Here is a 23,586-nt window from a genome sequence, read left to right on the forward strand (position 1 = left end):
GCAAAGCCATTTTTAACAAAGGGGATAGCATGCAGAGGCAACCACAAGATGTCACTTGGTTCAAAGCTGATGAAGGAAATAATGGCTGCTGAGAAGGCAGCTGTCCCATGCCCAGATTAGGTTTCTTGCAGACAGTGCTTCTCAGGCCAAGAGACACCACACATCCAGGGCTTCTGAATCCTTTTACCTCTTATCTATCTGATTACTCAGGGACATGTGGCAGTATCTAGCCTAGAAGTCAACAGACAGAGAGGTAGACCACCCCCTTCTTTCCTTCTCTCCCTATGCTCCGTGAGCTCATGGAGTCAGAAACCCACAGCCTATCTGATTGGACTGAAAAAGATAATGCCTTCTAAAATATTATTCATTCCGTTCAACAATTATTGAATGCCTTCCATGGGACAGACACAGTTAGGTGTTAGAGTACATCAGAGATATATCAGTGCACAAAACAGACAAAATTCGCTGCCCCTCAAGAGCTCACCATCCAGGGACTCAGATTCAAAGATGATTAGGATTGCAAAGTAGTTGAGATTCAACACTTCTGGTGTTTAGATTAGGCATACAGAATTGCAGGAACTTGCCCACTATTCCATAACAGAGAACGAAATCTAAAGCCATGGTCTTCCCAGTCCCTTCCCAGGACCCACTCTCCTATACCAAACCATCTCCCTGCACAGGGAACCTGTTCCCATGACTCCTATGCTAAAGAGGTTTCCAGAATAATGTTTGCTAATTAATGGTAGCATTGCTGTATGTTATGGATGGATTTTTATCTAAATGGAATTTCTCAAGTTCTCTCAAAGTGCTTACAATTTAGTGAAGGAAACAGGAGGTTCCTGCATGAAACAAATACAGGAGCACATCGAGTTCGTGCAACTGCAACAGTCACATGTGTCCCAAGCTATGTACCCAGGCTGACACCGCTGAAGTGACTCTATGTCTGCGTCTCCTGGCAGGATAGTGTGGGGAATCTCATGCTTTTAGCTCTCAATTCTGCCTCCTTCCAGATAAACTGGCCTGAGTATATCCTTTGAGAACTTCACTTTCCATGGCTTCAATTCTATCTTCTCTTCTCAACTCTAACTAAATTTCTCCCAATTATCTCAGTAGAATGTTCTACCCTACAACTAACATAAATTTCCACAGCAACAAAAAGTGCACCGAACACTTATGCTAATAAGTAAGATACTGAGAAGAAAGTTTGAACACAAAGAAAATTGCCTTCATGCACAAACATGTACATACATTTTCTTAGTTGTCCTTTAATAGCAGTACTTTAAGTGATTTCTAGAAACATCTTTAGTATTTACAATAGCGTAGTTTCTATTTTCTATTTTCATTCTAGCTGGAAACAGCCATGACATTCTGTTCTGGATTCCTTGTAAAATTGTTGCTGTTATATTACTAGCAACAAGGTAGAGTATATTCAGAGATAATCATGTAATTATGTTTAATCAGGTAGATACATTCTTCAAACACACACACACACACACACACACACGCACACACGCGCGTGCACATGCACACACACAGTACCCTTTCTCCCCCAAAAGAGTAATTAACAGTGTAACTCCTTTGGCAACACAGTAATCCCTGATTGCTGGGTTGTCAGTTACTCTCCTGGAAAGTCATTAGATACACTGTCACAACTTCATCATGTAAGCTAAAACCTCAGAAAAATGTCATGCTTCAACAATACTTCCTATTGATCAGCACTTCCTTTTTTTTTTTCTTTTGCTTCCAAGACAGTTGGTAGACTTGCCAACACCTGTACATCCATGGGGCAAGGGCCAGAAGGACGCATCTCAGTACCTGAACCCCTAGGGAGCTACAGCTCCAGTTTCCACTGGGTTTCCCTTGGATCTCTGACACCTGGGTATATCCACAAGTGTCTATGCATCGTTAAATCCACAGTGTTTTTCAAGCATTTAGAAATTGTCTATCATCTTTGTGTTAAGCCAGCAAATTGCAATGCCTAATTCAAAACACAACCCATTGCCGGGACCACAGACTAAGAACAAGAAAAACTTTTGAAATGCAATTTACAATTATCTTACTTTAGCCACAGTGCAAGAGTCTGAGTCATTTAAAATTTTGGTTAATATTTTCTATATAACGTTGAATTCTGATGTAGCCTTATTTTGTTTGAAAGAAAAAAATGTATATATATGTATATATTTTTTAAATCTGGATTCTTTTTTTATTATTATCATACTTTAAGTTCTAGGGTACATGTATACAACATGCAGGTTTGTTACATATGTATATATGCGCCATGTTGGTGTGCTGCACCCATTAACTCGTCATTTACATTAGGTATATCTCCTAATGCTGTCCCTCCCCACTCCCCCCACCCCATGACAGTCCCCGGTGTGTGATGTTCCCACCTATGAGTGAGAACATGCGGTGTTTGGTTTTCTGTCCTTGCGATAGTTTGCTGAGAATGACGGTTTTCAGCTTCATCCATGTCCCTACAAAGGACATGAACTCATCCTTTTTTATGGCTGCATAGTATTCCATGGTGTATATGTGCCACATTTTCTTAATCCAGTCTACCATTGATGGACATTTGGGTTGGTTCCAAGTCTTTGCTATTGTGAATAGTGCCGCAATAAAAGGATTATAAATCATGCTGCTATAAAGACATATGCACACATATGTTTATTGCGGCAAGATGTATATTTTTAAAATTGAACATCTATGACTAGGTTCCAGATACTCCACTATATATTTTATTTACTTTTTATTATAGTATAATTTATATAAAGAACCTGAATCCTAAGTGTAAAGTGCGATTAATATTTCCTGTGAATATATTTGAGTAACCACCAGTCAGATAAAAAATATAATATTCCATTATCCTCTCTCAGTTACAGGCCCCCCTCAAGTAACCACTATTCTGACTCTTATTATTAGAAATTAATACTGCCTGTTGTTGAATTTCATAGTCTTTTGCTGAATGTTGTGACTGTGACATCCTTTAGTGTGGTCGCATGTGTCAGTATTCATTTTTTTTCAACTGTATGTCATATTCCTTTGTCTACTATAATTTCTCTTCTGTAAATTGACATTTGGGCTGCTTTCTATTTGTGGGTATTGGGTATTATGAAAACAGCTGCCGTGAACATGCCTGTGCATGGTTTTGGGTGGACGTTAGAACTCATTTCTTTGGGGCTATAAATACAGCCTATTTTTTATTTTAATATACTGCTCTTGAATAGTTTAATAAATATGTGTACATGGTCTTAACAAAATGTCAAAAGAATATACTCTGAGCTAGGAAAAGAAGAGCAAACAAGTCAAAGCAGGAAGATGGCAGGGAATAACAAAGGTGATAGCCAAAATAAATGAAATAAAGAATAGAAAAACAATCACGGAAATCCGCAAGATGAAAAGCTTGTTATTTGAAAAGAGCAACAAAATTCACCAATCTTTAGCTGAGCTGACCAAGAAAAAAGGAAGAAGACTCAATTACTAAAATCATAATTGAAAGATTCAACACAATCATATCACAAGAGACCTTACAGAAATAAAAAGGATTATAAAAGAATACGATGAACAATTGAAAGCCATCAAATTGATAACCTAGATTAAATGGATAAATTCCTTAAAAGGTACAAAGTACTAAAATTGACTCCAAGAAGATATAGAAAATCCAAATAGACCTACAGAAGTAAAAAGATTGAGTTAGTAATCAAACTTCCCACATACACCTACTATGTACCCACACAAATTAAAAATTTAGGCTGGGCGCAGTGGCTCATACCTGTAATCCCAGCACTTTGGGTGGCCAAGGCGAGTGGATCACCTGAGGTCAAGAGTTCAAGACCAGCCTGGCCAAGGTGATGAAACCCCGTCTCTACTAAAAATACAAAAATTAGCTGGGTGTGGTGGCGGGAACCTGTAATCCCATCTACTCGGGAGGCTGAGGCAGAAGAATCATTTGAGACTGGAAGGCAGAGGTTGCAGTGAGCCAAGATCATGCCAATGCACTCCAGCCTGGGCAACAAGAGCAAAACTCCATCACAAATAATAATAATAATAATAATATATTTTAAAATTTAAAACTTCCTACAATAAAAGCTCAAACCTGGGGGGCTTTACTGATGAATTCTACCAAATATTTTTAAAAGAATTAATTCTAATTTTTTACCAACTTCCAGTCTTCTCTTCCAACGAATGGAAGAGGTGGAATACTTCCCCACTTGTTCTATGAAGCTAGCATTACCCTATACTAAACCAGACAAAGACATCATGAGAAAACTACAGGCCAGTATCTGATGAATATAGATGTAAGACCCTCAACAAACACTAGCAAACTGAATCCAACAGCATATAAAAAGGATTATACACCATGGCTAAGTAGGATTTATCTCAGGAATGCAAGATAGGCTGCATACCTGAAAATCAATTGTTGTACCATATTAATAAAATAAAGGACAAAACCCATACAATCATCTTAGTAGATGCAAAGAAAAGCATTTAATAAAATCTAATAACGCTTCCTGATAAAAACACTCAACAAACCTTTTAGGAAATAAGAGAACTTCCTCAACTTGACTTAAGGGCCTCTATGAAAAATCCACAGCTAATGTGACACTTATTAGTGAAAAACAGTGCTTTATCCCTAAGATTAGGAACAAGACAAAAATGTCTACCCTTGCCACTTCTATTCAACATATTAGGAGTTCTATCTAGGGCAATTAGGCAAAAAAATAAAACAAAAGACATCTAGGCCAGGCGTGGTGGCTCACGCCTGTAATCCCAGCACTTTGGGAGGCCAAAGTGGACAGATCGCTTTGAGCCCAGGAGACTGAGAACACCCTGAGCAACATGGCAAAACGCCATCTCTACAAGAAATACAAAAATTAGCTGGGCATTGGTGGCTTGTGTTTGTAGTCCCAGCTACTTGGGAGGTTGAGGCTGGAGAATTGCTTGATCCCAGAAAGCGGAGGTTGTAGTGAGCTGAGATCACGCTACTGCACTCCAGCCTGGGCCACAGAGTAAGACCCTGTCTCAAAAAAAAAAAAAAAAAGAAAAAGAAGAAAAGAAAAGAAAGCATTTAAATTGGAAAAGAAGTAAAACTATCTCTATTCATAGGTGGCATAATCTTGTTTATAGAAAACCATAAGGAATCCACAAAAAACTCCATTACAACTAATAAATGAATTCAGCAGTGTTGCATGGTATAAGATCAACATACAAGAATCAATTGTGTTTCTATACACTTACGATGAGCAATCTGAAAATGAAATTAAGAAAACAATTTCATATAAAATAGCATCACAAAGAAAAAATATTTAGGAATAAATGTAACAAAAGAAACACAAGAGTTATACACTAAAAATGACAAAACACTGTTGAAAGAAAGATATAAATAAATGGAGGATATCATATGTTCATGAATCAGAAGACTTATTATTAAAATAGCAATACTCCCCAAATTGATCCATAGATTAAATGCAGTTCTTCTCAGAATTCTAGCTTGCTTTTTTTTTTTTTTGGCAGAAATTAGCAAACTGATCCTAAAATTCGTGTGGAAATTCAAGGGACCCAGTATAGCCAAAACAACCTTGAAAAACAAGAACAAAATTGGAGGACTCACACTTCCCAATTTCAAAACTTACTACAAAGCAAAAGTAGTCAAGACTATGGGGTTCTGACATATGATAGACATATAGATCAATGAAATTGGGTTAAGAGTCCAAAAATAAATCTTCATATTTATAGTCAATTGATTTTTGACAAGAGTGCCAAAACAATTCAATGGGGGAAAATAGAATTTTCAATAAATGGTGTTGGGACAACTGGGTATCCACACTCAAAAGAATGAAGTTGGACCCTATATTACACTGTATACAAAAACTAACTCAAATAGATCAAAGACCTAAATGTAAGAGCTAAAACTATAAAATTGTTACATAAAATTATAGAGGTAATCATCATAGACTTAGAAAAGGCAGTGGTTTCTTAGATATGACACACTCGAAAGTATGAGTAACAAGAAAAAAATAGATAACTGGACTTCAGTAAAATTAAAACTTTTGTGATTTATAGGACACCATCAAAAAAATGAAAAGGCAACACACAAAATGGGAGAAAATATTTGCAAATCAAAAACCTAATAGGGGACTTGTATCTGGAATATATATTTTAAAATCTTACAACTCAGTAATAAAAAGACAAATAACTCAGTTTTTTAAAAGGCAAAAGATCAGAATAGACATTTCTCCAAAGAAGATACAGCCATAAGACCATGAAGATGTTCAGCATCATTAGCCGTCAGGGAGATGCATATTAAAATCACAATTAAATACCACTTGATACCCACGAAGATGGATATAATAAAAAAGACAGGTAATAAAGTGTTGGCAAGAATAAAATGGAGTCTTCAGACACTGCTGGTGGGAATGTAAAATTGTGCAGCCACCGTTGAAAACAACTTGCTGATTCCTCTAAAAGTTAAACAGAGGCTGGGCGCTCGGCGGCTCACGCCTATAATCTCAGCACTTTGGGAGGCTGAGGTGGGCAGATCATTTGAGGCCAGGAGTTCGAGACCAGCCTGGCCAAGATGGTGAAACCCTGTCTCTACTAAAAATACAAAAATTAGCCAGGTGTGGTGGCAGGTGCCTGTAGTCCCCGCTACTTGGGAGGCTGAGTCAGAAGAATTGCTTGAACCCAGGAGGTGGAGGTTGCAGTGAGCCGAGATCGTGTCATTGCACTCCAGCCTGAACAACTCCATGTCAAAAAAAAAAAAAAGTTAAACAGACAGTTACCATACAAGCCAGCAAATGTACTCTGAGGTATGTACCCAAGAAAAGTAAAACTTAAAACTTGTATACACATACTCATAGCAGCGTTGGTAAGTCACAATAGCTCAAAAGCAGAAACAATCCAAATGTTTATCAGTTGATGAATGGATAAAATTCACCAATGGAATATTATTTAGCAATAAAAAGGAATGAAGTACTGATGCTACAATATGATAAACTTAAAAACATCATGCTAAACAGCAGACCCAGGGTTAGAACACAGGCAGTCTGTTTCTGGATTCTATGTAGTTCTATCCTATATTGCTTGGTTTTCCAGGGTTAGAACACAGGCAGTCTGTTTCTGGATTCTATATAGTTCTATCCTGTATTGCTTGGTTTTCCAGGGTTAGAACACAGGCAGTCTGTTTCTGGATTCTATGTAGTTCTATCCTGTATTGCTTGGTTTTCCAGGGTTAGAACACAGGCAGTCTGTTTCTGGATTCTATGTAGTTCTATCCTATATTGCTTGGTTTTCACAGTCACCTCATTGCTTAGGAGCGTTTTCATCACTCTTGACTGTTTAAGAGCTCTTTAGTCAATTTCCTTTCACCATAACCTCTTGATTCCTGTGTTGTGCCAACAGAATCAGCAAAGTACAAAGGAAAGCTGTCAGTGCAATTCACAGCCTGCTAAGTTCTCACGACCTGGACCCACGCTGTGTCAAACCAGAGGTGAAGGTCAAAATCGCCGCCCTTTACCTACCTTTAGTTGGCATCATTTTGGATGCTTTGCCACAGCTCTGTGACTTTACAGGTAATGGCCCTTCTGTTTTCTTTCTTGGATTGTTGGGGGCCCCTGCCAAATGCCCCATCCGAATGAGATCTCTGTCATTCGTTCCAGTGCTGATATGTTCATATGAGCAATTCTTCACAAAAATGGTCTCCAAACCTCTTTAACACTGGCCCCAATCAGTTAAAAAAACAAAAAAAGTCACATAGCCCCATATGTGTTTTTTGTTTAGAAATTATTTACTTGTTTCTTCATTCATTCATTTATTCATTCATTGATCTGCTAGTATGGAATGAACTTTATAAACCATACACCACAAAGGATGAAATAATAACAAGATTACTGCCTTTGGAGATCGTGCTCTAACACCTTGAAATAAAGGTGTTCCTTCCCTTTTCTTTTATGAATATGTAAGCAAAAAAGCGGTCTCAAATGAACCCAACTAATTGCTCCATGCAAAAAAAAAATCATGGCATATGTCAATATTAGAAAATTCTATCATAGCAGAGAAATATTGCCCTTGGCACTAAGTGACTAATTTTGAGGTTAATATGTCTAGATTAGCAACAAGATGAAAGGATAAGTTGTCTTAAAGGGGTTTTGTGAAACCCCAGAATCTATTTACAAATTACATTGTGGATTAAGGAATGTAGAGGGAAAAAAATCCTCCCAAATAGAAGAACTTCTTATGTTGACCTGAGAAAGGCAGTCCATTGGCCTACCCTCTCCACAGCGTACGTGTGTGTGCACGTGTGTGCGCGCGTGCACACACACACACACACAATTCCTATCCCATCAGAGTAGTTCTTGCTTTTCCTCCAGCTCAAGGGAAGTTTTGGAAATGTCCATGCTGCTCTCTTGGCAGCTGAAGGGTGCTGGGATCTGGGCAATGCTTCCCTGAGCCAGCCTCTTTATAGTCAGTCATCCTTGAAATCTTGGAACCATCCAGGTTTTCCCACCTCCTCCAAATGGAAAGTGTCATGTGTGACTAAATTGTTTATAATACTATTACGGTGACAAGTATTTAGTTCATGAAAATGGGACCAAACGCCTATAGTCTTTAATTCATACAAATCATAAAATGAAAAGCAAGTATTCCTGTGGAAGTAATTCTCTCCTTTCTTGAAAAAAATCCTCTAGCAAACTGCTAATGGAGTAACTCAGAAGAGAAAGGTTGAGACAGGGGTTAGGGTTTGTAGAGTTCTGTTGGGGCCAGAGTGCAAGGAAATGATAGAAACAAGCTCAGCACACAGGGCTGAGCAAGCTGCACCATGAGGTCAGCAGCTTCCTCTAGCAGCGCCTGATTGCGCGGAATTGAAAATGGAGTTGTTTTTAACATTTACAGACATAATGCAGAGCATGGCATGTGACTTGTAGCCCATTTTGAGAATCCTTGATGGCAAGTTTCTAAAAAGTTCCATTTCAAGAGCTTGCTTGTTCCCAAAGCCAGGAACCACTTTAGCACACATTATCCGAAGTTTTCTTGTCAATTAGAATATTCCGTATCAGTGACTCGGAATCAGAACTTTTCAACATTTGGTCTCCAAGCCTTTTAAACCTCAAAGACTTCTTTGTATATGCGTTGAACTTTATGATCATGATGTAGCTGATGAGAGAAAAAAACAGTGAAAAGTATTTTATTGTTATAGGTTACACAGTACATCTATTAAATATGGAATCTTTAGGTTGATAAACTCATAAGAATACAGTCTTTCAAAAAGATGCATCTGAATTCAGATTCCAGCCCCATTTATTAATATAAGTGACCTTTGAAAGGCTCAACCTTTCCGTGCCTTCCTTTCCTCTGTAAACTATAAAAATGTGATAACGATGTCTACCTTTTAGGTTTACGATAAAGGTGAAACTAGAGAACTTCTATAAAAGCATTTTGCACAGCACATGTTTGTATCTTTCCCGATTTTTCTTGTAACTATAACCCTATGGCAATTAAGGGGAAATAAGAATGTGTCTCTATGTTAGTTGTGATAATGTTATCAGGTCTTGCATAATTTCCATGTGCTGTTTATTTAACCATTTGTTTAAAATCCCAATGGCCTTAATAAGTATTTCTAAAAATTGGGTTTTGGCTCGGTGTGGTGGCTCACCCCTGTAATCCCAGCACTTTGGGAGGCCAAGGTGGACAGATCACTTGAGGCCAGGGGTTCAAGACCAGCCTGGCCAACATGGCGAAACCCTGTCTCCACTAAAAATACAAAAGTTAGCCAGGCGTGGTGGCGCACCTGTAATCCCAGCTACTCGGGAGGCTGAGGTAGGAGGATGGAGGGGCAGAGATTGCAGTGAGCGGAGATGGCGCCACTGCACTCCAGCCTGGATGATAGTGTGAGACTTTGTCTAAAAATAAATAAATAAATAAATAATAAGAACTGGGTTTTGTTTTCACAACTTTAGTAGAAGAAATGTTATTTACACTCAAATTTTTCTAAATAATTGAAGGCCCAGATGGCTGTAATGTCAACAGGTCTAGAAAAACATGAATTTTTAGGAAAACATGAGTGAATCAATCAGTTGTGAATGTTTTACCACACTTTTCCCAGAACTGCTTGAAATATTAATAGTTTTTGATTGTATACTGGTAGCATTCTTAAAAACCAGACTTTTAAACGGTTTATCGTTTTTTTGCTTGCATACATCTAGACCTATCTATAAATATGGGTATGTCTATATTACATAGATACAATAAATTGACATTCATTTTAAACATTTGAAATATGACAAATTATTGCTGAACTTGTGATAATAGCTTATTATTCTATATAAGGTAGTTGCTTAATTCTGTAATTGTAGGTGTCTTCTATTTGGTCATTATTTAAAATAATGCCAATTATTAGAATAGAGAATGAAGTTTAAAAAATTATGTTACAGGAAACAATTATGGAAGGTTTGAAAACTTTTTGTTCACACAATTTGAAAAATTAATTTCTAGCCTAATCTTGTGCTAGACATTGTCTCTTAGCCTGCTGTGTTTTCCTATAGGTGATAGCAGATACATAATGCTAAACATCAGGTTTGAAATTACTGTGCTGACTTTAGTGACTGAGAAGTATCAGTCTCTTATTGGGTAGGGGACATGGGGAAATGTCATGTTTGACTTGACATCACAAACGATGTTTTCATTGCAGTTGCAGATACTCGCAGATACCGCACCAGTGGCTCGGATGAAGAACAAGAAGGAGCCGGTGCCATTAACCAGAATGTGGCTCTGGCCATAGCAGGGAATAATTTCAATTTGAAAACAAGTGGAATAGTGCTGTCTTCCTTGGTATGTTGGTGCACATGTGTCTGGTTGATTTTTCATTTCATGTCTTCTGTCTTCTGTTTTGTTTTGTTTGTTTGTTTGTTTTGAGACAGAGTCTCACTCTGTTGCACAGGCTGGAGTGCAGTGGCGCAATCTCAGTTCACTGCAACCTCCGCCTCCCGGGTTCTTCATGCCTCAGCCTCCTGATTAGCTGGGATTACAGGCGTGCACCACCACACCTGGCTAATTTTTTTTGTATCTTTTAGTAGAGACGGGGTTTCGCCATGTTGGCCAGGCTGGTCTCAAACTCCCAACCTCAGATGGTACACCCACCTCAGCCTCCCAAAGTGCTGGGATTACAGGCGTGAGCCACTGTGCCCAGCCTCTTCTGTCATCTTCTGATGGGAGAACTCAGCTTAGAGCAGGCATTGATTATTTCCGCCTCATTTTGCTGGAAAGAATCATTGTGAGGCTGGCAGCTGAGGTGCACACAAGTCAGAAAGGGTTCTGGCAACAGCAAGAGATGTGCAGATCAAATTCAGGCAGTCCCAGTGGTGCTGAGTTCAAGTTCAAGAAACCGGAAAAGAGGAAAACTTGGGAAATCTGAAATCCTTGCAAAGGAGATCAAACCAAGGCTCTCTGAGGGTGGAGGCTTAGGCTGTGTTCAGTCTATGTGTGTGTAATTCATACAGTGTAATGCCTCCAAAAAAAAAGACTGAAGGAGGCTGGTAGCTTAGCGTAAGGGCTTCTTAAACAAGACTGCAGCTTTTCTAGGACCCCAGGGAGCCTAAGGAGGGTTGTTTGGCTCTGTCCTTTTGCATGGACTCTGTGGGCTCAAAGAGGGGCTCCTCTGGGAATGTATCCTCTGATTCAGTTGAGGTGGGATTCATCTCTGTTCATTGATGAGCTCTGACTATCCCTTGTGAAGACAGCACTGCATCCTCCAATGTCATTTACTTTCACATTTCAATGTAGGGTATAGATGTGCAGAGAATTTAACTTTCTTCTCCCGTGAGAAAGCAGCATCCTGACCTAACTCTTCTTGCTGGATGACTTTCTTGTCTTCCTTCCTGCACTTAGCAAGCTCCATCACCATGAGGATTGGGGGGACAGTGAGGCAGGAAGATGAGACAGAGAAAAGACATTTGAGATTTGACATCACCGATCTTACTGTTGGAGAAATATTGTGTGACCTCCTCCACCTTTCTAATATCCGTCTTACCAAAGTTAGCTGCTTGAGGTGGTATATGCCTTTTACATTATTTGCCTCTAAGGGAAAAACTCAAAAGCCCAAAGTTCACCTGTTAGAACATAGTCCTTGTGAGGTTGTATCTCAAGATTTCCTTTATTCTTGTCAACAAACTCAGAATAACTAAAGTTAAAGTTGCTTTATAACCTCTATTATTTCCATCCAAAACTAACATTTCCCTCCCATACCCACAAATTCCTCATTGCAATTTCACCAGTACATTCCACTGGATATTAGCTACGCTGCATGAACCAAGGGTGCAGCCTCATTGTTGTTGTTTGTGTTGATGAGATGAGTAACAGAGAGTGCGCTCAGCACTTTAAAATGAATACTTGTGGCCAAAATATTAAAGCAAATAGCCTGAACCCCCACACCCCAGCCCCAGGCAAACATAAATTATGGTTAAACTTCCATTACAGAGAACTCCACAAACATGGATTTGATTAATTTGCTGAGCAGTTCATGACCCTTATGTTATACTTTGCACTATGTAACAAAGAAGCTAAATCTTGAACAGCAAGCTTATTCATGGCACCCAGCCAGTTTCCTTCTCCCCTGTAAGTCTAACCCTCTGCTGCCCAGCACGAAGGAGAAATACTTGGAGATCTTAGCAGCATGAAAGCCTCTTTGTATCACTGGGATTGCAGCACGCATGATCAAGGCCCAGGGGTGATCACCAGGCCACACTGCTCCTAAGACAGAGGTACTCAGATACGTGGCTGAAAGCCTAGCTCAAATACTGCCCCAGGTGAGCCTCTTTGCTGAGTAGCGCTACTCAAAGAACACAGCTTCCCCTGCCTAGGGAAGGCAGGGCTACTGGCAATAGATCTCCAGCCTAGCAGTGATGTACAGTCATGGTATTTTAAGAGAACACTTTGAATTTTTCTGTTGCTTGACTGTTAAGCCTCAAATTTTTCTGTTGCTTGACTTCTTCCCTGGCCTCCATCCCCCAATCTGCCTCCCTTCAGCCCTATAAGCAGTACAACATGCTGAACGCGGACACTACTCGCAACCTCATGATCTGCTTCCTCTGGATCATGAAAAATGCTGATCAGAGCCTCATTAGGAAGTGGATTGCTGACCTGCCATCAACGCAGCTCAACAGGATTTTAGATCTACTTTTCATCTGTGTGTTATGTTTTGAGTATAAGGTAAGTCTGGAGTGGCACAACTTTATACCAGCTCTTATCTCTCAATTGCAATTCTGTCTTCTTACTCATCCCCTTTGTTTGGGCCATGGAGGCATCATTAATTTTTCTCATTTCTGTATTCAAATCCATAACCCATTTGTAGGTATAGATATGATCATTTCACAGGGAAAGGATCTCTGCCTTCTGCAGAGAGAACCCCATTTCTGTTGACAGAGTTTTGGCCCATAGGATGCTCCAGAGCAGCATCTCAGTGAAGCACATGTCAAACTTAGCTGGCATCACTGTGGAGTGTACTGTTTTGGTAACTCTCCCCATCAACGGAGATCTCACCAAAGGACATGTCCTCCTACCTCTGTCTTGTCCAGGGAAAACAGAGTTCTGACAAAGTCAGTACCCAAGTCCTGCAGAAGTCAAGGGATGTCAAGGCCCGGCTGGAAGAGGCTTTGCTCCGTGGGGAAGGGGCCAGAGGGGAGATGATGCGCCGCCGGGCTCCAGGTGTGTTGGACTGGCCCTTCCCTGCTCTCTGTCAAGCAGTTTTTCACTGTTTGTGGGGAGGAATGTCCTCCCAACATGATTAGACACCATTACTTTCTTGAGATATTTACGGTAGTGTCAGAGACAGCGGATTCTGGGAGTCTGTGTGTGACATTTGTGTTAGCCCTGTGCCTGTGAGGGAAAGCGCTGTTCTACAATTGTAGGAACCCTGAAAACAGCACCAAATGACATCTTTTAATTAAAACTCGTTGATGGTAAAAGGTCACCTCTAAGAATGTCAGTCATGGATGAGGTGGAAGGTGTTTCCCTCAAGGCTGAGGCCTTTCTATGTGACCTTTGGCTAGTCTATCCGGAGCATGGTCAAGAAACTGAACAGTTCTGGCCCCAAGATCATCTTCTCGATCATTCAGGGCACTATTAGAATGGAACCAGTTCCCTGAAATGGCTTCAGAGTGTCCCAGTCATTCAAGGATTCCACCACAGGAGGAATGATCTCAAAAAGGCTGAGCTTGAATAGAATGAAATCCCCAGGTACCCTCAGTCTTATTCACCATGCTCAAAGTAAAACAGAGTGACAGCTTATTGTATTCGAAGGGACACAGTGGCAGGGAACTTGGAGGGAGCTCATAGTTTTCAGTGGTGGTCAGGCACCCTCATTTGACACCCATACTTTCATACCCAATAATTCAGTAAGCCCCCAGAGTTTCACAGGAATCCTCTGCTCATGAGAAATGTCTCTCTGACACTCAGAAAGGCAGAGGTTCTTCTTATATTCTAGTCTATCAATCAAAGAGCGGGCCAACTTGGACATAGGTGTGGCGACTTTGTCTCCTACCAGCAACCTGCATGGACTCTAATTAGCCCGAGAAATGGTGCTGAGGCTTCTCAGTTGAGCTTGTTATGAACTTCTGGTTATCTTGGAGGGTTTCATGCTAATCAAATTCCTATCATGCATTTCTTAACTCCTAGGGAACGACCGATTTCCAGGCCTAAATGAAAATTTGAGATGGAAGAAAGAGCAGACACATTGGCGGCAAGCTAATGAGAAGCTAGATAAGTGAGTCACTCGGCAACTTTCTGCTACTTTTACCTAAAGTCCAAAACTATTTTTCCCAGGCTGCTTGTATTACTGAAACAACTGCATCCTTCCAAGGGTTAGAAAATGAAACATCATTATCTGTGTAAATACAATTCATCCAGGGACCCAGGATAATCAAAGGTATAGGGAGTTGTGGTTTCCAGCTCTTAAAAATTTGTCACATTGATAAGCATGTAAAGAAAACTAATATTTCTTTAGCAACCTCAGATGGCTTAATAAAAGCAGCTGATTTTGCAGGGAGGGTAGCAGGGAAATAGAGAAAGCAGGACACGGTGCCTAGGACCGTATACTTTCAAATCGATATTTCCTTTCTGGAAATATGTACAAGATATACATTCAGATATATTTATGTCAGTGCTACTTAAAGTTGTTTTTTAAAATTGAAAACATTCTAAATGCTCCAGAATAGAAAAATATATTTAAAAGTTGGATTGCCATCAAAATGTTTTAAAATCATCTTAATGACATGGGGAAATGCTTATGACATAATGTTAAATGAACAAAGGCAGGGTAGACACTTGGTTTTCTAGTAGTGTGTGGCTCACGCCTGTAATCCCAGCACTTTGGGAGGCTGAGGCCGGTGGAACACCTGAGGTCAGTAGTTCGAGACTAGCCTGGCCAACATGGTGAAACCCCGTCTCTACAAAAAATAGAAAAATTAGCTGGGCATGATGGCAGATGCCTGTAATCCCAGCTACTCAGGAGGCTGAGGAGGAAGAGTCGCTTGAACCCGGGAGGCAGAGGTTGCAGTGAGCCAAGATCGTGCCATTGCACTCCAGCCTGGGTGACAGAGCAAGACTCCATCTCAAAAAAAAAAAAAAAAAAAGAACCTCAAATCTCTGATGACATATAGTCAATGTATTTTTTAAAGGCTAGAAGGAAATTTACCAAAATATTAATTGCGGTTTTCTTTGGGTGCTGGGAATATCGGTAATTGATGTTTTCTCTTTTATACTTTGCTATGTTTCCTACAGTAGATGTGTATTATAATATATATTGTTACCAGAAAAAAAATTATAAAGAAATGAAAGAATAAAAAAACCTGTTTGGATCAAAATCTATGCTATAGATGAATAGATATATTGACGTGTATTGCTATATATGCAACAATTTAGACATATGAAAGCTAAAAGTATATATGTTTGACTAGATAGCACATGTTTCCGATACCGTTTAGCCACAGGTAGCCTAATGAGTCCCAGGGTTTGCTGAGCAAAATGTCGTAGAGCTAAAATCACCCCTCACACACAGTTGACAAGGTAGGATACCCCATGGGTGATGAAGCACCCATCAAAGGGGGTATGGGGCAGACTTGATTAGCAGTGCTGTTTTGTAAATAAATGTGAGTTAATATCTTTATTGTTACCACAAGAATGAATCATTCTGGTTAACTTATGGGACTTTGGGGAGTCACATTTATTTTAAAACATTAAAGAAATAAGTATATTTTTATTATAGATGTGACTTGGAAACCCAGTTGTTGGTATCATGCCTATTTGCTTTGGGTATGTTATTCTTGCACTAAATTCCCTGGACTGATTTATAAAATACTTGGATCGGAGAGTCCATACATTCTACTTCGGGCAATGAACAACAACTACAAAATATGCATGCCGTGGGTGCTACAGAATTGCTTAGGTGGTTTAGCTCATCTACTCTACTAGATTAAAAGAAGACCCCTAAGTAGGCCTGTTTTGCCTGGGCTGTGTAAACTGGTGTTTTGGAAAACCTTTCCCTTTTGCTTGCAGGAGCAACACAATATTGGTCCTTACCACGCATGGCCTACCGGTTTGCTCTAGGTTAGTTCTCAGCCCTGCGCTACCTGGTGGGCTGCTGGTTGTCAGAGCTAATGATTCACATCTACAAATTCTCAGGGGCTTTGTGCTTTTTTTTTTTTTTTAAAAGGGAAACCATAGTAAAATTATAACTGTTCAACCTACCTACCTGGAAAATTTATAATTATAATAATGGTGTCTTTCACCCTCTTTCTGATCATTTTTCGATTATTTTGGCTCTGTTTCTTTTAGAGCAATGATCTTCAACTTAGGCTGCACATTAGAATCACCTGGGGAGCTTTAAAACCTGTCAGTGCCCAGCTGCACCCTAGACTACTTCAATTGGAAACTCCAGCAGGACCCAGAAATCAGTATTTGGTAAAACTTCCCAGGTGATTCTATTGCCACCAAATCCATTGTTTTAAAGGAATAGATGGTAAGCTTTTCTTTTCTTTTTTTTTTCTTTTCTTTTTTTGAGACAAGGTCTCACTCTGTCACCCAGGCTGGAATACAGTGGCACAATCACAGCTCACTGCAGCCTTACCCTCCTGGCCTCAAACAATCCTCCCACCTCAGCCTCCCAAGTAGATGGGACTACAGGTGTGTACCACCACAACTGCTTACTTTTTGTATTTTTTGTAGAGACAGGGTTTCACCATGTTGCCCAGGCTGGTCTAAAACTCCTGGGCTCAAGTGATCCACCTGTTTTAACCTCCCAAAGTGGTGGGATTACAGGCATGAGCCACTGCGCCTGGTCAGATGGTAAAGCTTTTAAAAAACCAGATTAGTGTTAGTGATGGTTGCACAATATGAATGTACTTAACACTACTGAACTGTATACTTACAAATGGTTAAGATGGTAAATTTTTATGTTAGGTGTACTTTATCACAATACAAAAATTTGGGAAAAAACAGATTAGGACACTCTAGATTTGTGCTGTCCAATACAGTAGCCATTAGCCACATGTGACTATCAAATGCTTGAAATATGGCTAGTTCAAATTGAGATAATAAATCAAGATAAGTGAAAAATACGCACCAGATTTTGAAGGCTTATTGTGAATAAAAGAATAAAATATTTCACTAGTAATTTTTATATTGCTTACATGGAGACAGTATTTTTTATCTTTTAGGATAAACAAAATATATTAAAAATAATTTCACTTTTTCTTTACTTTTTTAATGTGGTTACCACAATATATAAAATGACATATGTGGCCCCCATTGTTTCTACTAGACAGCATTGCTCTAAATTTAAAACTAAACTAGCAGTCAATTAATTAAAAAGGATGATAAGGGGCCGGGCACAGTGGCTCACACCTGTAATCCCAGCACTTTGGGAGGCCGAGGTAAGTGGATCACGAGGTCAGGAGATCGAGACCATCCTGGCTAACGCGGCGAAACCCCGTCTCTACTAAAAATACAAAAAAGTAGCCGGGCGCGGTGGCGGGCGCCTGTAGTCCCAGCTACTCGGGAGGCTGAAGCAGGAGAATGGCGTGAACCCGGGAAGTGGAGCTTGCGGTGAGCCAAGATTGCGCCACTGCACTCTGCACTCCAGCCTGGGCGACAGAGGGAGACTCCGTCTCAAAAAAAAAAAAAAAAAAAAGGATGATGAGGTTAAAATGGTAAATTTGATGTTATGTGTACTTTATCACGATATAAAAATTTGATGGCTCATGCCTGTGGTCCCAGATACTCAGGAGGCTAAGGCAGAGCATCACTTGAGCCCAGGAGTTCGAGGCTTCAGTGAGCTATGATAGTGCCACTGCACTCTAGCCTGGGTGATAGAGCAAGACCCTGTCTCTAAGGAAAAAAAAAAAAAAAAACTTTTAGATTTCATTTATTTTACACATATATTATCACTTGGAAAATGAGAAAAAGTGTCAAGTGGCTTGGGACCAGAGAGCCTATCCTAAACATGAAAACAAGTAAAACACACAGAAGTACTTATTTTTTGAGTCCTCAGTGGTATGTAAGCAGCTGCAGTGCCCCCATTATTAGGTTAATGGGACGCAAGAACAGGTAAGTGGTAACCCTGGCCCAGGACATATGAGCTGATATAATGATACCCCAACCCCATGGTAACATCTTGGCTACTGAGGCATCTTGGTAAAGTCAATTCTTCATACCTCCCTTTCCTTGCAACTAGATTTGGATGATGATACAAAATATCCCTTTACAGCTTCACTTAGATTTCATAAGAATGGATGGGCTAGCAAAAAAAACCATTCTGATTCCTTAAAGTGAAACCTAATAGAGGAGCGAGCACCAGGCAATTTCCCATTCCCTAGTGGGCAATGACCAGTAATGTCCGGCAGGATATTAGATCACCTGCCCTACAGGAATACAGTCTTGTTTCCCAATGGAAAAGGACGAAAGACCCCACGCACTTGGCTGAGCAACCTCAAGGTGATCTTTGGGAAGTTAAGAGGCTGACTCTCCCCTGACTTGGCTCTGAAGCTCCACCCTTTCCTAACCCAGCCGCATCACTGCCAAGTTCACATCACATCCAGTCTCACTCTCTCTCGCATGTTGCAGGGGCTTCCCCTTACTCAGATCTAGCAATGGTTTTCATGCGTGAAATACAGCCATGGCCCTGAGGCTTTAGGCAACAATCTGAGAGGGGAGCTTAATTGCTAGTAGCAACTAATAACTGCTTCTCTACCCATAGTGTTATTTTTATAATTGTCCTCATCATTATTAATAATAGTGGGGATGAGGATGACCAGGAAACCTTACCTAGACAGTTGTTTCGACAAGACATGAATCACAGAAGGCACCTGCACTGTAGTTACTCAGGGCCAGTTGCTCTGTTTTCATTTCAAGGTTGACTATTTTGGAGATTTCTTTACACCTTGGTGTATAGATTGCCATCATGGGAACCTGGCCAGGTTTGACATGCGCTTTAATTTGACCTCTTGTTGTTTCCTAGAACAAAGGCCGAGTTAGATCAAGAAGCCTTGATCAGTGGCAATCTGGCTACAGAAGCACATTTAATCATCCTGGATATGCAGGAAAACATTATCCAGGTGAGGAAAACAAACACCCAATCTGATTTGTTGGCCATGAATATGTTTACTAGAATAAGGACTTCTTTATGCAAAATTGTGAAAGACATAAATGTGATCCCATAGTACCTTTTTTAAAAAAATGAAGTTGAGAAGTTTACTATTTACAACAGTGTCTACCTTATAAATTCCAGAGATACCAAACATTCTTCTGGCTTCTTTGACTTAGGGCTTACTTGGAGAGGGTTAGGTGTTTGGCCAGCTGACCCTCTTGGTTAAATCTGTGTGAGTATGTACCAAGTTTATAATATGGATGTTGGGTTTATCGTTTAGTATCTAGAACAGTAGTGGTAAGTAGAATTTTTTCTGATGGGTCAACTCCAGTTGAATGATGGTCACTGTCTGATATGGGAGCTATGATTATGACTAGGCTAGGTAAAAAGAGTGCTAAATTTGACAAATGATGTCTTCTTTGGACTTAAATTTGTTAAGGAAAGTCATTTGTACCATGAATTTGCCATCCCTGCTGTAGAAAAATATAGCTTTGTGAACTTTGTACCATACTAATTTTATCTTCTATGTGATTATTTCCACAAATTCCCAAGCTGTCTAGGTAATAATGAGTTTTTAATTACCCTGAAAAATGAGTTCTTACATGTTTCCATTGAGAAGTCATTCATTAGAGTAGGTCCAGGATTGCTTTTAGGGCTAGAAGAAATATCGTTGAAACACAGTGAAATCTTAATTCTCTAACTTTTGAATTGTCTAAAATCAAAGTAATCATCATACAAAAATAAACACAAAAAGTATGTGATATTTTTGTTGACTTTAATATCTTTGATAACTTAAATGCTTGGTATCACATTTACCTTATCTTTATATAGCACAATATTAGGTGCCAAATATCTATACTAGCCCCCAAATATATTTGCAGTTTTCAAAGAAAGCTGAAACCTTTTGTTATTATCCTTGGTGTTGTTAGTCCTTCTGTAGGTGATAAACAAGCTTCTATTTAGAAACATTGCTGCCACCAAGCAGCCCCTGTTGTACTGGGAAGCCCACAATTGTGTTTTGCATCCCATAAGGAAAGCTATGTCTTGTATACAAAGAAAGAACTTTCCAAAAGATGTGACCCAGGATGAGGGAGATGGGCCTTATACCTTCATTTAGGAACCCAGAATTAGGTATAAATCCCAAACTCATTGGAAGCATTGAAATAAAGCCATTTGGAAATAGGTCTTCAGTTCCCATGGTTAATGGATGATACCCATGGTGGCTCACCAAACTCTTAAGACTCACCACTGGACATGGAACATCAGCATTACTGAGCTAATTGTCAGGAACATCCAGTTCATTGGCACAGTGCAGGGATTCAATGATGCTGTTCTTCCATTCCCCCAGGCGAGCTCGGCTCTGGACTGTAAAGACAGCCTGCTGGGAGGTGTTCTGAGGGTGCTGGTGAATTCTCTGAACTGTGATCAGAGTACCACCTACCTGACTCACTGCTTTGCAACACTCCGTGCTCTCATCGCCAAGGTAAACTTGGGATGCTTGTTTTCTTCCTCTTAATTAAGAGTAAGATTCTCATCTAGCTTCATACTTCTCTCTTCAGGTGGACCAAAAGTCACAGAGCATATTAAGTGGCATCACAGTAAAGGTCTTAAGTCTTCCTAGGAAGAAAGCAGATGCCCTGATTCTGTGGGAAGCCACCATGGAGAGGAAAAGCAGTGGCTCCCATATTTGAAGTGTGGACCTAACTCTAGAAGTTTAAAATGGCCATTCGCTGAAGGTCTATGACATGAGAACAGAGATCAACTGAGTGACTTAGCAATTTCACTCTTTCTCTGTAATACCTCTGCTGAGTGAGATTAAATCCTCTATGTGACGCCCATTAGTCTTACAAAATGTCATGCCATAAAATGCCAGGAAGGTCAGAAATGAATTTCTCACGGCCTGAGGAATGAGGATTATCCTGGGGTAACATGCAGATTATTTTTCCCTTTATTTATTTATTTATTTATTTTTGAGACTGAGTCTCGCTCTATCGCCCAGGCTGGAGTGCAGTGGTACCATCTCAGCTCACTGCAGCCTCTGCGCCCTGGGCTCAAGCGATTCTCATGCCTCAGCCTCCTGAGTATTGGGATTATAGGCGTGTGCCACCGCACCCAGCTAATTTTTGTATTATTAGTAGAGACAGGGTTTCACCATGTTGGCCAGGCTGGTCTTGAACTCCTGACCTCAAGTGATCCACCTGCCTCAGCCTCCCAAAGCACTGGGATTACAGGCGTGAGCCCCCGTTCCTGGCCTATTTTTCCCTTTATTGAAGATCTCAATTGGTGCCTTCTACATGGGGTCTTTTAAATTTAAAAAGTAAAATTCTTCTGCTCATCCTTCTCAGGACCATTTTCTCTTTCTTCATCACCAGTAATTTCCCAGGAACCCAAGAAACTCAGGTTTCCTTCCATCATAGTTGTGATTTCACCAGTGAATGCGACCTGGCTCACAGTGCAGTTGATAACACAGCTCTGACCCTTTTAGCTGGACAGTTCATTATTAAATCTCAAGTCTACTCCATTGCTTAAATCCATCTTCTGATTCACATAGCTCATTATCTTTATGGAATAATGCATTAACTCTTCTAGGCTTTTTGCTTGTCCAAATGGACATTTGCATATTTCAACGGTCCAGAAAGTGTATCAAACTGCCAAGTGATGCCTAATGGCCCTTTATGTCTCTCCTAGTTTGGAGACTTACTCTTTGAAGAGGAGGTGGAACAGTGTTTCGACCTATGTCACCAAGTCCTGCACCACTGCAGCAGCAGCATGGATGTCACCCGGAGCCAAGCCTGTGCCACCCTTTACCTCCTCATGAGGTTCAGTTTTGGAGCCACCAGTGTAAGAGTTCAAACCAGCTGAGTGACCTGGAATCAGTAGAGAAAAATTGATGTAAAGCATCAGCTGCGAAAAAAAATAAGGAAATTTTGCAGTATTGCAGTTTACTTCTGTCCTGTGAGAAAGAAACAATTGAGTATGTAGATAGATAGCAGCTTCCATTTTAATTTGCATCTAAAAGTGAATTCATCAGATAAATGCAGTGGTCTCTATCAGTGTGTTTCTAAAATAGACAGCCAGGGGCCAGGAACGATGGCTTTCACCTATAATCCCAGCACTTTGGGAGGCCGAGGTGAGTGGATCATTTGAAGTCAGGAGTTCAAGACTAGCCTGGCCAGCATGGTGAAATCCTGTCTCTACTATAAATACAAAAATAGCCAGATGTGTTGGCGCATGCCTGTAATCCAAGCTACTTGGGAGGCTGAGGCAGGAGAATTGCTTGAACCTGGGAGGCAGATATTGCAGTGAGCCGAGATTGCCCCATTTCACTCCAGCCTGGACAACAGAGTGAGACTTCATTTCAAAAAATAATAATAATAAAATAAAATAACCAGGTGCAGTGGCTCATGTCTGTAATCCTAGCACTTCGGGAGGCCAAGGCAGGCAGATCAGATGAGGCCAGGAGTCCAAGACTAGCCTGGCCAACATGGTGAAACCCCCGTCTCTACAATACAAAAAATTAGCCGGGTGTGGTGGCACACACGCCCGTAATCTTAGCTACTGGGGAGGCTGAGGCACGAGAATCGCTTGAACCCAGGAGGCAGAGGTTGTAGTGAGCCAAGATTGTGCCACTGTATTCCAGCCTGAGACCCTGTCTCAAAAAAAAAAAAAGAAAGAAAGAAATGGAAGAGTATTTTAGATTAAAAGTTATCATCTGTGGGGGAAAAAATACAATAGACAGGTTAGAATTCAGAAGAGTGTTTCCTGTTTCTAAATTCTGACTAGCTAGTGCCAGAATGACCTGTGGAAGAGGATTTTAAATGATCGGTGTCATCTAACCTGAGTTTTATTTTAATATTTTATTTATTTATTTATTGAGACAGTGTCTTGCTCTGTCACCCAGGCTGGAGTGTAGTGGCACTATCAGAGCTCACTGCAGCCTTCAACTCCTGGGCTCA

At 40.3% G+C, this 23,586-nt stretch overlaps 1 protein-coding gene across 17 annotated transcripts in view; it reads left to right on the top strand.

The window, feature by feature from the left end:
- Window positions 1-23,586, top strand: part of DOCK8 (dedicator of cytokinesis 8) — a 253,999-nt gene that overhangs the window by 196,127 nt on the left and 34,286 nt on the right. For all 17 annotated transcript variants that reach the window (XM_017015173.2, XM_047423927.1, XM_011518045.4 and 14 more), the window contains 8 exons: window positions 7,399-7,568; window positions 10,685-10,824; window positions 13,018-13,200; window positions 13,566-13,695; window positions 14,665-14,752; window positions 19,502-19,598; window positions 20,979-21,113; window positions 22,319-22,471. In XM_017015173.2, the coding sequence (XP_016870662.1) occupies window positions 7,399-7,568; window positions 10,685-10,824; window positions 13,018-13,200; window positions 13,566-13,695; window positions 14,665-14,752; window positions 19,502-19,598; window positions 20,979-21,113; window positions 22,319-22,471 (1,096 nt within the window). The remainder of the gene's footprint in view (window positions 1-7,398; window positions 7,569-10,684; window positions 10,825-13,017; window positions 13,201-13,565; window positions 13,696-14,664; window positions 14,753-19,501; window positions 19,599-20,978; window positions 21,114-22,318; window positions 22,472-23,586) is intronic.

The sequence above is a fragment of the Homo sapiens genome, chromosome 9 (genome assembly GCF_000001405.40).
Source record: "Homo sapiens chromosome 9, GRCh38.p14 Primary Assembly".
Taxonomy (NCBI): Eukaryota; Metazoa; Chordata; class Mammalia; order Primates; family Hominidae; genus Homo; species Homo sapiens.